Here is a 14,175-nt window from a genome sequence, read left to right as displayed (position 1 = left end):
GTCAAAAACTAGATATTTAAAGAATATAATGTAGTATCTCTGGAAATCAGATTCTCCCCTATCCTCAGGCATTGTTGTTGGTGTTTGTTATTGTGGTGGTAGTTCTTATTTCTTTGTCACTTTTCTCAACCAATTCTGTAAAGTCTGTATTCTTTGTCATGTGTAGCCGTTGAAGTCTTTGTTCAGTTAGCTTAGTGGTAGTAAGTTAATGATTGAACAGTGTTTTCCTTAACTTTCTGGAACCAGTAAGTCTCTCAGTCTTTGCTGAAGTGCTCTTTGTGTATGCTGGGCACACCTTTAACATTCAGCCTAGCAGTTGAAGACCCTGCCTTAGCCTTCACTTCCTTGCACAGAACCTCAAGGTCAGTCAAAGGTGAGGGAATAGGGCTTTCTCAGATCTTTCTTGATCTGGCATGCACACAGCCTTATGCTTGAGTGTAACCCACTAGATCCCCAGGAATATGTAGCTTTTATAGCACTTATGGACATCTCATTACCTGGATTTTCCTGAAAATTTTTTGGTTAGCCTATTATTTGCTCTAACTATTGTCCCCTTGCTTCAGGCAGCTACAAAGTAAAATAATTACCTCTAATTGAGTTCAGCAGATGTCTCCAGGGAAAAGGCTTTTGCACAGGTGAGCTCAATATCAGTTCAAATAAAAACAGCCTTGCAAATGGGGTATTTTAGGTAACCATCAGACAGGTCAAATAATTACAGTTTACTGAGTGTAGCTTTGAAAGAACTCCAACCTGTCAGAGTTCTCTAGAGAGACAGAACTAATAGGATAGATGCATATATGAAAGGGAGTTTATTAAGGAGTATTGACTCACACAGTCACAAGATGAAGTCCCACAATAGGCCATCTGCAAGCTGAGGAGCAAGGAAGCCAGTCCAAGTCCCAAAACCTCAAAAGTAGAGAAGCTGACAGTGCAGCCTTCAGTCTGTGGCCAAAGGCCCAAGTGCCCCTGGCAAACCACTGGTGTTAAGTCCAAGAGTCCAAAAGCTGAAGAACTTGGAGTCTGATGTTCAAGGGCAGGAAGCATCCAGCACAGGAGAAAGATGAAGACCAGAAGACTCAGCTAGTCTGGTGCCTTCCACATTCTTCTGCCTGCTTTATTCTAGTCACACTGACAGCTGATTAAATGGTGCCCACAGAGATTGAGGTTGTGTCTGCCTCTCCCAGTCCACTGACTGAAACGTTAATCTCCTTTGGCAACACCCTCACAGACACACCCAGGAACAATACTTTGCACCCTTCAATCTAATCAAGTTGACATTCAGTATTAACCATTACAAACCCCATTCTGCTCCCTCCAGTGGCTGCCAGGATGCTAGATTTCACCATGAATGTGGGCTGTTAGTTTTCAAAAGTACTTCAGAACTGGAGAGGAGGAATGAGAATAGGGAAGTTAAAATGCCACAACGCTCACTGTTCCTACTGACATTCAGCCATTTTCTTGAATAAATGCTTCTCGGATTGCTGCAAATACTTTTATTAAATTCCAGAGCTCCAAAGAAGTTGGTTCTGAATGTTTTTGCCAATTTTCTCATTGCTTTTATGGAGGAGCACTTAAAACACTGTCCAGCACATAGTAGGTGATGAATTAATATGTTATTCATTAATGCCATTTTATTTATTTATAAATAATTTAATTTATAATGTACTTATAAATTATTATTTTCAGATTATTTTGGATGTTAGTGTAGAGCAGAGATTATGGTATCAGGACCCTTTACATTCTTAAAAGCTATACAGGACCCCAAAGAGATGTCGATGGAGTTATATCTATTGTTATTTGCTGTATTAGACATTAAAACTAGGAATATTAAAAGTATTTACTTACTAATTCATTTAAAGTTAATAATAAAGGAATCAGACACTCATATGTGTTTTTTCAAGATATGCTTTCCAAAATAAAATACTTTAGTGGAAAGAATACCATTGTTTTACATTTTTGCAAATCTCTTTAATTTTTTCCTTAATGGTAGACAGCTGGATTCTCGTATCTTCTTCTGCACTCAATCTGGTTTGACTGAGGAAAATTTGGTCTCACAAATATATACAGTTGGAAGAAGAACTGTGTCCTAATACCCTTTTTTGACAATTAGGGATATTTTCTCTGATACTGTACAAGAAGTTGGCAAGTGATACTTTCTTAAAGGTTAGTTACAATATGGAAGCTGCAAACGTATCAATTGACTTTTCATTTTCTGTTATGTTAAAATCTATCTTACACTTTGGGTGAATTATTAGTCATTGTGTGATTTTTCCATTATGATGCCTTGGTCATTTGAAAAATTTTGGCTCACTGAGTTATGCCGATTTTCCAAATATTAACACACTTCATTATATAACGTCAAAACTCATATTCATTAGTGTCACCTCTGTTCTCATCAGAAAAGCCTTCAGGTATTGGGAAGCTGTCAAGTTTCATAGTAGAAGATAACAAGTTTTCCCAAATTCTAATTTTCACCTGAAAGTGCAAATTCTATCATTGGCTATGAACACTGTCAGTTGTTTTCCTTGAAGTAACAGGCTTGCTTTGTTCATTTCCAAGAAAATGCCTACAAAATACTTGAGTTTGAATAAGAGTTTGTCTGTCAGTTTTTCTTTCAAGTAAAAATAGTGTTACATTTAAAAAGTGTTCAGTTCATCTCACAAGTCAATCACACTTGTGCTTTTCCTCTAGATGACCATCATACTTTAGTATGTACCAGAAGTACTTTATGCATACTTCCCATTTCATCACACATAATATCAAAAAAGACATGTAGTCAAGGGTGAAGATTTGATGAAATTAACTTTTACTGCCTCTTCAAGTATATTCTTAAGTGAAACTAGCTTTTTTTAAAATGTGTGTGCTTGGCAGTGAAAACTACAATGACTACTATTGCAGTTTGGTGTCACTACCCTGACTTATGATAAAGTGCAAGCAGTTTTACCCACCATAGCTTTTGCATCAGTGCAAATTTCATCACATTTGTTTGAGGGAAAACCATGAATTTTAACACTGCTATTTAACATTTTGAATATTTCAGCACCACTCATGGTTTTTTTTCCCAAAGCTTTCACATAATAGATCTTCTTTAATGATTAGTTAGTGCTTAATACTGGATGAATATAAGCAAAACAGCAATTCCACCCCAAATCTGTAGATTTGTCCATTTATAAGGCAAAAACACATTCTGCAGAAGAGACATTAACTAAAGAGGGCTTTATGTTTGCAAGTAAACCTTTTATTTGATGAGTTTGTTTCTCCATCATTGGAGAGTGGCATGATTTCTTCTATGACTTTTCACCCAGCAGGCATTCAGCAATGTCAAATCTACAGGGGTTTATTTTTTATTTTTTATTTTTTTTGAGAGGGAGTCTCGCTCTTTTCCCCAGGCTGGAGTGCAGTGGTGTGATCTCGGCTCACCGCAACCTCCACCTCCTGGGTTCAAGCAATTCTCCTGCCTCAGCCTCCCAAGTAGCTGGGATTACAGGTGCCTGCCACCAAGCCTGGCTAATTTTTTTTTTGTATTTTTAGTAGAGACAGGGTTTCACCATGTTGGCCAAGCTGGTTTCAAACTCCTGACCTCAAGTGATCCGCCCGCCTCAGCCTCCCAAAGTGCTAGAATTACAAGTGTGAGCCATCATGCAGGCCTCTACAGGGGTTTATTAGTTTTTCCACTATTGTGTGTACTTCTACAGCTAATATAATGCAGTAACTTACCCTACAGTATGTTTCAGTGCGTTTTTCGTTTCTATTTGGAAAAGCCATAACAAACACTTTTGACTTTTAAAGAGCTCATAACATTTACTTTAAATGTTTAATTTCATTTTCTTTAAACTCCAAGTAATTAATTTCAAGATGACTCTACAATTTAACTTACACTCTAATATCCTATTCCAAAATGTTCTTTTGCATCAGAAAAACAAGATAAATTATGCATGTCTATAAGGTCAAGGAAAAGACAGCTTTTGTTGTATATTTGTTTCTTAATTACAGTTGTAATCTACAGAGTAGATCCCTCTCTTCCATGAGCCAGAACTCTGTGATAAGTTGTTTTGACATGTTTTTATCAGTTTTAGACATAGACATTGCTGCTGTGGGTTGGTGAAGTAAGTCTTCTAATCTCCTTTTTCAAAGCCAATCATCCATTCTTAAATATCAGAAAAACATGTTGCAAATAAATTTTATCTTATTGTATAATACGTCCAATAAGTTACAGAAAAAATTTAAAATTTATATTCTTCAAAAAATATTTTAAAGTGTTATTGCAAAACAAGACTACAAAATTTTTTCACTTCATATATTTTCACATAGATACAAAACTTCTAGATTTCCAAATAACAATTTATTAAATGATAAGAAGGTTACAAAGATTATGGTTTGCATAACCTAGATAGCCAGTAAGAGCACTCAGTTCTGGGTATAAGGTAAACTCTGAAAATGCATGTATTTTTACTTGCTCCCTTAGAACATTCTAGAATGCACAAATACATATTTCAGAACAGTGATATCACTTTACATCATGTTGCCTCTTGAAATTTCCCCTGTATACTTGTGAGAGAATAAGAGTAAAAAGGACAAATAAAGTCTTAGTATTATTATGAAAATAGGTTTGCCCTTTAGGACCTCCCGAGAGGTCTCAGAGAACTGGAAGGAATGGATTGGAGGAGGTCAAAACTGGAGCTTTGGAGACCAATTAAGAGGCCGTTGGGATGGTCTGTGTGGCAGTGGTTCTCCAACTTGTATGCATCAGAACCCCCTGAAGGGCTTGTTAAAAGCTGGGCTCCACTCCCAGGATTTCTGATTCAGTAGGTCTAAGTCTGGCCCCAAAATGCATTTCCAACAAGTGCCCAGATGGTATTGATGCTGCTTATTTTAGGACCATGCTTTGAGAACCACTATGCTAGGGCCTTGCTAATCATCTCAGACTTCACCCCAGATCTATTGAAGATGAAACTCTGTGAATAAGATTTTCAGGTGATTTGTATACACATTAAAGTTTGAGAAGCACTGCTCTAAGAGACAGTTGATGGAATCCTAGACCTAAAGGTAGAGAAAAGTTCACAAATTGAATGGTTATTTATAAGAGACAATAAACAAGACTTCGTGTCTGGATGTAGAGAAGTTAGAGGGAGGGAGAAATCACCAGAAATTATTTGGTTTCTTCTGGCTTGAGCAATTGAGTAGGAGGTAATTCCTTTTCACTGGGACAAAGGACACAAGGAGATGAGTATATTTGGGGGAGTGGTATTTGAATTCAGTATTGAGTTGATTTACTACACAAAGTTCTCTTTTAATCTGCACATTAATGGTTTCACATGGTTAAATAATAATGTCATGAACTCCTGGTGCTGCAAAGGGATTGGTAATGCATAAGAAGTGTTAGGCACACATGCAGGATTCTGCTTTCAGCTCAGACTCTGTTTGTGGCAGATATAAATTAGCAAAATATAAGTCTCTTCTACATAAGGAGCATTTAAAACCTGTCTCCCATCCCTACAGCATTCAGCCCCTCAGACAAAAGCATGTGGGTATGAGACACAGGGTAAACAGCCAAAGTCACGTACCACCTATTGGTAATTCGAGATTAGAAGAACAGAAGAGGATATTCCAGATATTCCAGAGCAGACCGGACCCAATTGTGTGACTGCCAGACTTGGGCAAATTCCATGTGGTTCCCTTTCAGGGACATATAGCTACCCATGTTCCTGACCAGCTGAACCAGGATTATGACACACAAAGCAGGCTGCAGAAGGAAGTAGTCCCCACTTAAGAATGAATCAAATTTCTATCTGGTTGGGGGAGACATTACACTTTCAACCATTGTTTCGCTTGATCTTCACATTACAGCCAGGTCCAGCAGGCATTTTAATTATCTTCATTTTGCAGATGAGGAGGCTGAGTTTCAAGGAAAGTAAATGACTTGTCTAGAGTTATTGAAATGGTAAGAGGATGAACTGACACTGGGCCCCAGGTATCCTGACTCCAAATTGTGTGTTCCTTTCACGATAATACCATGCTGTAGTTCAATTTAGCAGCAGGCTGATCTGTAGGACATTTGTTCCTTTTTTGGATTCCAATTTACTTCAAGAACTAACATGTATGAAATGTTCAAATAATAGCACTTGATTTCTTAAAATTGCTTGATTTATAATACATTACAGATTATTAGTGAGCTTTTATCTTAATGGTCAAGCAATTAACAATGAGTCACAGCAAAATGTCTGAAAGGTGAGGAAAGAAAAAAATGCTTACATTGTCACCAGGTCTGTTCATTATCCTCTGTGCTGTATATCAGATCAATCAATAGTTAATTAATAATGATGTTCTTCCTGAAGTACAAGGTTATAAATTAATTTAATGCTCATATGCATATTTTCTGTAGGAAAAGTGAGAGGAAAATGCCTGCCATGCCCATCTCATTGTAAGAAAATGTATGTAATGATTACAAGCATATAATAAGAATGGTTTGCTTAGCCAAATGTTTGTTCATTTCTGTTAATCAGTATTCATTTGAGCTACCTCCATGCAGTTTGTGGAAGCAGTGCAATCAGTTGAGTAGTGTGGCAGATTTAAATCAGTAATAAAAGCCCTGGGGAAATTAACAAGACAAAACATTAACCACAGTCTAAACATTAACATATATTAGCATTTTTATTATACCTGTAGAATTGTTAAATGGGCACGGTTGCTACTATTAAAAAGTTTATGTTGTATATCACATAATTTCAATGTATATATTGTTTTTAAACTTTTAAGATTTAATTAAATGAAATTGTATAGTGGTATGATAGATGATTCAAGAGAATGAACTGAAATTCATCATTTTATTTTAACTGAAAAACTGAAATTCCCACCCAACTCCACCTTCAGCCCCAAGGTACCACAAAGCGAATGCCACAGGTAATACTCATCCAAAGTAGACAACTAGATCAGAGTTGATAATTAAATTGCATAACTCCCAAAGGAAGTTTTAGTTTTAATTCTTTAGGGTCCTGATGAATCCATCAATGATCCAAGACTAAATTTAAATGGTATTTGGCAACATTTCTCAGAAAAGCACTTTTTTTTCTAAGTTGGATGAACTTTTATTAGCTGAATTCGAGACATTATAATAACACTTCAATTAAGAGAATGATATATTTGCATAAGCACAAACATTTAAATAAACAGAATAGAGTTCAGAAATAGATCCACAAACATGGCCAATTAAGTTTAAAGAAATAAAAAATTGAAGTAACTAAATGAGAAATGATCTTAACAAATTGTACTGAAACAATCTGATAAATATTTGGAAAAACATAATCATTATTTCTTGAGTGTTAAATAACTTGGAAAGTTTGACAAGTTAATCAGATAAACAAATGGATAGCATTCATGACAGATAAACAGAGCATACACATTATTTTTAAATACCAGAGAAAAATATTTAAAGGAAAAGCATTAGGCCTAAAAATGTCATTAACTTTGTGAAAGTAGAAATCCAACAGGTCATATGATTTAAGCACTGTGAAATGAAGTAGAAATGTCAGTGAAAGGGAAATCAACAAGTAATATCTAGCCATGTACAAATTTTATTTAAGATAGATTTCTTTTATTTCTTTTTTAAATAGTTTCAGCTTTTATTACAGATTAGAGGGTACACTTGCAGATTTGTTACATGGGTATATTGTACGACGCTGAGGCTTCGGGTCCCAGTGATCCCATCGCCTAGGCCATGAAAACAGCAATCTTTACATCACACAATATACAAAAATTAACACAAAATGGGTTAAATACCTCATCATAAATGTACAAATGATAAAGGTTCTGAAGAAAATATGTCTGTGACATTGCCATATGGAAAGGCTTCTTTGGATGGAAAACAGCATCAATCATAAAGCTGCAAAAATATATAAAATCAGGTGCATCAAAAAATTTTAAAAAGTGTTCTGTGCAAAAGGCATCACTAAGAAAAGTGAAAAACCAGATAATGGGAAGGAGTATTTACAAAACATATATTTGAAAATGAAATGGCAAGATTTGAGTAAACAGTGCAGCTTTATTCACAAAAGCAAAAATGTGGAAACTACCCAAATGTGTAAACATATTTGGTATATTTATTCAGCAATTAAAAGAAAAAAGTACTGGTAAACCACCAACATAGAGTTCCTCAAAGAAAAAATTATCCTGAGCAAAAAAGCAGAAACAAAGACATAAATACCGAATCTATCCATATTTATTTTCTATATTTCTATTCTTTCTTTCTGTTATCAATCTAATCCTAAAAAAGACAGATCTCATCTGTAGTGATTAAAATGTCAGTCACTATAAAATTATGACAATATTTTCTACATTATGAGGTAGTGTTTACACATGTGTATACATTTACAAATCTCATCAAACTACAATTTAGGGATGCATTTTATGTATATTGGGTCTCAAAACATTTAATTAAAAAAAGAGTACAGCAACCAAAAGAGGTAATGTACTGCAGCATAAACTCTGCCCCCCCATTAAAAAATTATCTCGGATAATTAACACACTATTAATTATATTAATTATACTTAATAAGATACATGACATAACCTTTATGTAAAATAACTGCCTATGCTTTCCATCTATTTGCTTACTCTCCATATATTCTACATCTTATGATTCTTATTTTCAGAACTTCTCTGCTGAAGTGACTCATGTCATCATTATCAATCATCTAAATTTACTAAACACAGTACATACTAGGTCCTCATCTTGTTGAATCTCTCATCGTTGTTAAACCCAGAATATTGATCTGGGTTTTCTCCCTTTGGATGTTTTAATTACACTGGTGTTACATAAGGACAGGATTCTCCTACAAAATATTAAATATATGTTTCAGAAACATAAAAACATCACAGTTTCAAATAACTTTTTTTGGGATTCAGGGAGTACATGTGCAGGTTTGTCATATGGGTATATTGTGTGATGCTGAGGTTTGGGGTATGGATGGTCCCATCACCCAGGTAGTGAGCATAGTACCCAATAGATAGTTTTTTAGCCCATGCCCCTTTTCCTCCTTCTGCCCTCTTGTAGTTCCCAGTGTCTGTGATTCCCATCTTTATGTTCATTAGTGTATTCAACATTTAGCTCCCACTAATAAGTGAGAACATGCAGTATTTGATTTTCTGTCCCGGCATTACTTTGCTTAGGAAAATAGCCTCCAGCTGCATCCATGTTGCTGCAAGGGGCAATATTTCATGCTTGTTTATGGCTGAGTAGTATTCCATGGTGTATATGTACAACATTTTCTTTATCCAGTCCACCATTGATGAGCACCTGAGTTGATAGCATGTCTTTGCTATTGTGTATAGTGCTGTGATGAACATATGGGTGCAGGTGTCTTTTTGGTAGAATGATTTGTTTTCCTTTAGCTATATACCCAGTAATGGTATTGTTGAATCAAATGGTAGTTCACCTCTTAGTTCTTTGAGGAATCTCCAAACTCCCCTCTGCAGTGGCTGGACTAATTTACACTCCCACCAGCAGTGTGTAAATGTTCCCCTCTCTCTGCATCCTCACCAGCATCTGTTGTTTTTAGACTATTTAACAAAAGCCATTCTAAATTCTGTGAGATGATATCTCATTGTGATTTTGATTTGCATTTCTCTGATGATTAGTGATGATAAGCATTTTTTCATATCTTTATTGGCCACTTGTATGTCTTCTTTTAAGAAGTGTCTGTTCATGTCCTTTGCCCACTTTTTAATGGGGCTATTTGTTTTTTGCTTGTTGATTTATTTAAGTTCCTTATAGCTTCTGGGTATTAGGCTTTTGTCAGATGCATAGTTTGCAAATATTGTCTCCCATTCTGTAGGTTGTCTGTTTACTCCCTTAATAGTTTCTCTTGCTGTGCAGAAGCTCTTTAGTTTAATTAGGTTCCACTTGTCAATTTTTGTTTTTGTTGCAATTGCTTTTGAGGATTTAGCCATAAATGCTTTGCCAAGGGTGATATCAAGAAGTGTATTTCCTTAGTTTTCTTGTAGGATTTTTATAGTTCGAAGTCTAATATTTAAGTCTTTAATCTATCCATCTTGAGTTAATTTTTGTATATGGTAAAAGATAGGAGTCCAGTTTCAATCTTTTGCATATGGCTAGCCATTTATCCTAGCACCATTTATTGAATAGGGAGTCAACTTTGCCAAAGATCAGATGGTTAGACATCAGAATTTTTTTAAATGTAGGAATTACCGAAGATTTTGTAGCCAACCCAATAATCTGAATTCTGGAGCCAGGGTCAAGGGACATCCTGCAGGCAGCAAGTGGCAAGCTAGACCTACTTGGGAGCCTCCTTTTCCATAGAATTTGACATGCAGTGCTTTCGTATGGTTACTAATTCACTCTTACTTGGCAGACCAAAGAATTTAAATCATCCCACTATTGGCTTACTGCCACTTGAAATACTACCTGAAACTTAGGTTAAAATTGAATGTCAGTTTTCTGTTGAACAACTTTAGCCATTTCTTGGAATATGTTTAGAGAATTTTTCATCATTATTACTGTCCTCCAATTATAGGTAAGGTGTCCACATAACCACAGACCTGGGTCACACCCAATACTGGGAAGCCCCAGAGCCTATGCCTGTGACAGAACTCCATGACACGGGAAAATCGAAAACAAAAACATAGGTTTTAGAATCAGACAGACCAGCATTCAAGCCTCAGCTCTACCATTTACTAACATTGTGACCTTGCTTTTAAGTTCCCCAACTTTTGTGAGCTTCAGTTTCCTTATATCTAAAAATGGGGCTAATAATACCCATTCTGTGTAATCCCAGTGCTTTGGGAGACCAAGGTGGGCAGATCACTTGAGTCCAGGAGTTCAAGACCAGTCTGGGCAACATGCTGAGATCCCGTGTCTAGCTACATTAGCTAGGCATGGTGTTGTGTGCCTGTAGTCCCAGCTGCTCAGGAGGCTTAAGTGGGAGGATTACCTGAGCCTGGGGAGATCAAGGCTGCATTGAGCCGTGACCACACCATGGCACTCCAGCCTGGGCAACAGAGCAAGACCCTGTCTCAATAAATAAATAAATAAATAAGTAATACCTGCTCTGTATACCTCAGAGGGTTGTTGGTAGGACTGAGTGAAGAGAATGGAGAATGGATGTAGAAGTTATCTGTGAAGCACTAGGTTGGAATAGGGTATTGTGTAAGAAACGTGAAGTGTTGGTATTGTTGAGAAGCTTTTGATACAGGCTCTCTTTCTCTGTTCTGGAGTGAAAGATCAAATCTGAATTTTTTTGTCACTTGAGAGTTCCCAGAACCAACAGTGAATAGGGGCCTGAGAATGACAGTTAGATTTTAACCAATAGAGTAGCCGCATTTCTTGACATGTTCATTATAGAGTATAGGAGTGAATTGTATCAGATCAAATTTTTGCATGATTTCAGAATGTTTGGTAATAATGGGATTCAGGACACACCACCCCAAAATATGGCACCTTTGCATTTAAGAAAACTTCAAAAACAAGAAAGTCACTCTCACCTTCCCCTCACCCCTTCTCCCATGAAGCAGGTCATAAAACCTAACTGACCCTCTTCTAAAGTATGTCGTAAGACCGTCATGTGGAGGTGCCCACCCTATACCAAGAAGAAAGAAACATCTTTACCTCCAAAGTTACAGGGACACAGAGAAAAATCTGAAGAAACTGCCCTGGCTAAGTTTCCCCCAGTTTATTTCCATTCAGTTATAACCTCTTTGTCCAATCACACTTCACCACTCTCCATTTCCTTAACAAACTTAGCATAAAAATCCACAGCTTTCCTCATTTCTTTGGGTCTTCCTTTCTAAAGGATCTCGTGTGACGTAAAACTTATATTAAACATATTTGTATGGATTTCTCTTTTTAATCTGTCTTTTATTACAGGTTCCTCAGGCATAGGTCAAGAAAATAAAATTTTCCCTGCCCTACAATAACATACTCCATTCAGAAAGTAATTTTCACCTTTTTTTTTTTTTCAAGGAAACTGAGAAGAAAATATGGCACTTCAAATATCCTATCTTCTTCCTGTGTATAGGGCTAGACTTACAGGTAGAGTGAAGCTATGGGACCAGGTCACAGTGAAGTCCTGCTGTGGGTGAGAGGTGGAAGTGGGGTGGTAGGCCAGGTTTCCTGATGCCCAGCCTACTGGGCTCTGCATGATCTAGACCAAGCTTGTCCAACCTGCAGCTTGCAGGCTGCATGCAGCCCAAGATGGCTTTGAATGTGGCCCAACACAAATTCATAAACTTTCTTAAAACATTATGATATTTTTTGGTGATTTTTCTTCTATCTCATCAGCTATCATTAGTATTTTATGTGTGGCCCAAGACAATTCTTCTTCTTCCAATGTGGCCCAGGGAAGCCAAAAGATTGGACACCCCTGATCTATACCTTGCTGGGTCCCAGCAGTGTATTTTCCTTATGTAGGTACAAGGACGGTGCTTCTGGATCCTGGCAGAAAAGAATGATGCTAAGGTTACTAAAATGTCTTCCTGGCTGGGCGCGGTGGCTCACGCCTGTAATCCCAGCACTTTGGGAGGCCAAGGTGGGTGGATCACGAGGTCAGGAGATCAAGACCATCCTAGCTAACACGGTGAAACACTGTCTCTACTAAAAATACAAAAAATTAGCTGGGCGTGGTAGTGGGCACCTGTAGTCCCAGCTACTCGGGAGGCTGAAGCAGGAGAATGGCGTGAACCCAGGAGGCAGAGCTTGCAGTGAGCCGAGATTGCACCACTGCACTCCAGCCTGGGTGACTGAGTGAGACTCTGTCTTAAAAAAAAAAAAAAAAAACTTCCTGGCCTGGATATGGTCAGAGGCCCTGCCTTCTTCTTATGTTTCAGGACTTGTAACCCTGCAGAGCACTATTGCTTTCCTTGTCAAAAGTCTAGCACATAAATAAAAACACCTTTAGGAATCATGGTCTATGGAAAACAAAAAGGTTTTATATTCCAGTCTTTTGGTAGAGACACTCACCTATCCAATAAATTCCCTCCAACTAACCAAATTTAAAGGTAGCAGCATCCTTGACTAGATACATTAGTCAGCGAAAGGAAATTGGATTCCACTTCTTATTTAAGAGCCTAAAACTCCTGGGCAGGATACTGATTTCTAAAATGCCACTTGGGAGGCTGGCTTCTTCAGTAAGGGCTGCTGAAGAATAAGACTCAAGTCTCCCAGCATAGCCTGATGTTTCCCAAGTGTGAAGCTGAAAGGACTTCTTTAATGTGAATGCTGCATCTCTTTGTAAGTTATGTTTTCTTTTAGTGTCCACTTCTCAAAATAAGCTCATAATATTCACCTATAGCTCACATAGTGTGGAGGTGAAAGATGTAGGGAGAAGGGCCCAAAGGAGGGAATATATTTGACAAATGCTTTGTATATGAGAAGAATTTGCTTCATGGTAGATTTGTGGAGGAAAATGCAGCCTGTCTGATAAGATGTGGCACATTTCAGATGGAGGAGTAGGGTTATTGGCAGGACACCATTGTTTGCGCCTTACCCCACACAGAGCCTTGGAAAGTTGGCTTGATAATACTATATTGGGTGGCTTGGGAAGAAAGATCAGACTGCAGAGTGGCGACATTATCATTTGTTCTTAACCTTCCTACTTTTGCCTCAGCTGCACCCCTTTCCAGTAGGTTGGGGTTGGTGAGGGGGGAGGGGGTTAAAAACTTTAAAGTCTTTCTGTGGACCAATTAGTATTCATTGATACAAAGGGCTGACTTTCAATGGGGAGGGAGATTTCACAGCTGTGGGTTGCAAGTAGACAAGTTACTGTGAAAGATGTGTGAAAGATTTGATTTTGGTGCTGGACTGGGAACAGGTGTAGGTCAAGAGAATGTGTACTATGCTCTTGAATGTGCTAAGAATACTTTGATCCTACTGAAATAAGTTCTCACATGAATGTTTATTCACAGAATAATAGATATTTATGGAACAAACATCAAGGTTTTGTTCCATGAAATTTTACCTGCATTTTCACAAAGTAAACATGTATATGTCTTCAGACAGAAAGTGGTAATACACAGTCTGCCCTCATTTATTTGGCATCTGCATTATATGCTTTGAAAATGATTGGAACTTAACTCCCCAGTCCAGCTAGGCAGCCCCTGACCTAAAGCACCCTACCAGACTGCTACTAGTTAAGGCATATTCATGGAATGCACACGCTTCGTTTGA

General features: G+C 37.5%; 1 protein-coding gene across 5 annotated transcripts in view; it reads left to right on the top strand.

The window, feature by feature from the left end:
* GPC3 (glypican 3) overlaps positions 1 to 14,175 on the top strand; it is a 449,850-nt gene that overhangs the window by 269,348 nt on the left and 166,327 nt on the right. Inside the window, exon 4 of one of the 5 annotated variants that reach the window (NM_001164617.2) lies at positions 11,974 to 12,042. The exons of the other annotated variants lie outside the window; for them this stretch is intronic. Coding sequence (NP_001158089.1) covers positions 11,974 to 12,042 — 69 coding nt within the window. The remainder of the gene's footprint in view (positions 1 to 11,973; positions 12,043 to 14,175) is intronic. 5 annotated transcript variants of the gene reach the window in all.

This window comes from Homo sapiens, chromosome X, assembly GCF_000001405.40.
Source record: "Homo sapiens chromosome X, GRCh38.p14 Primary Assembly".
Lineage (NCBI taxonomy): Eukaryota > Metazoa > Chordata > Mammalia > Primates > Hominidae > Homo > Homo sapiens.
The sequence above is the reverse complement of the archived record's forward strand: the minus strand, read 5'-3'. Positions and strand labels throughout refer to the sequence as shown.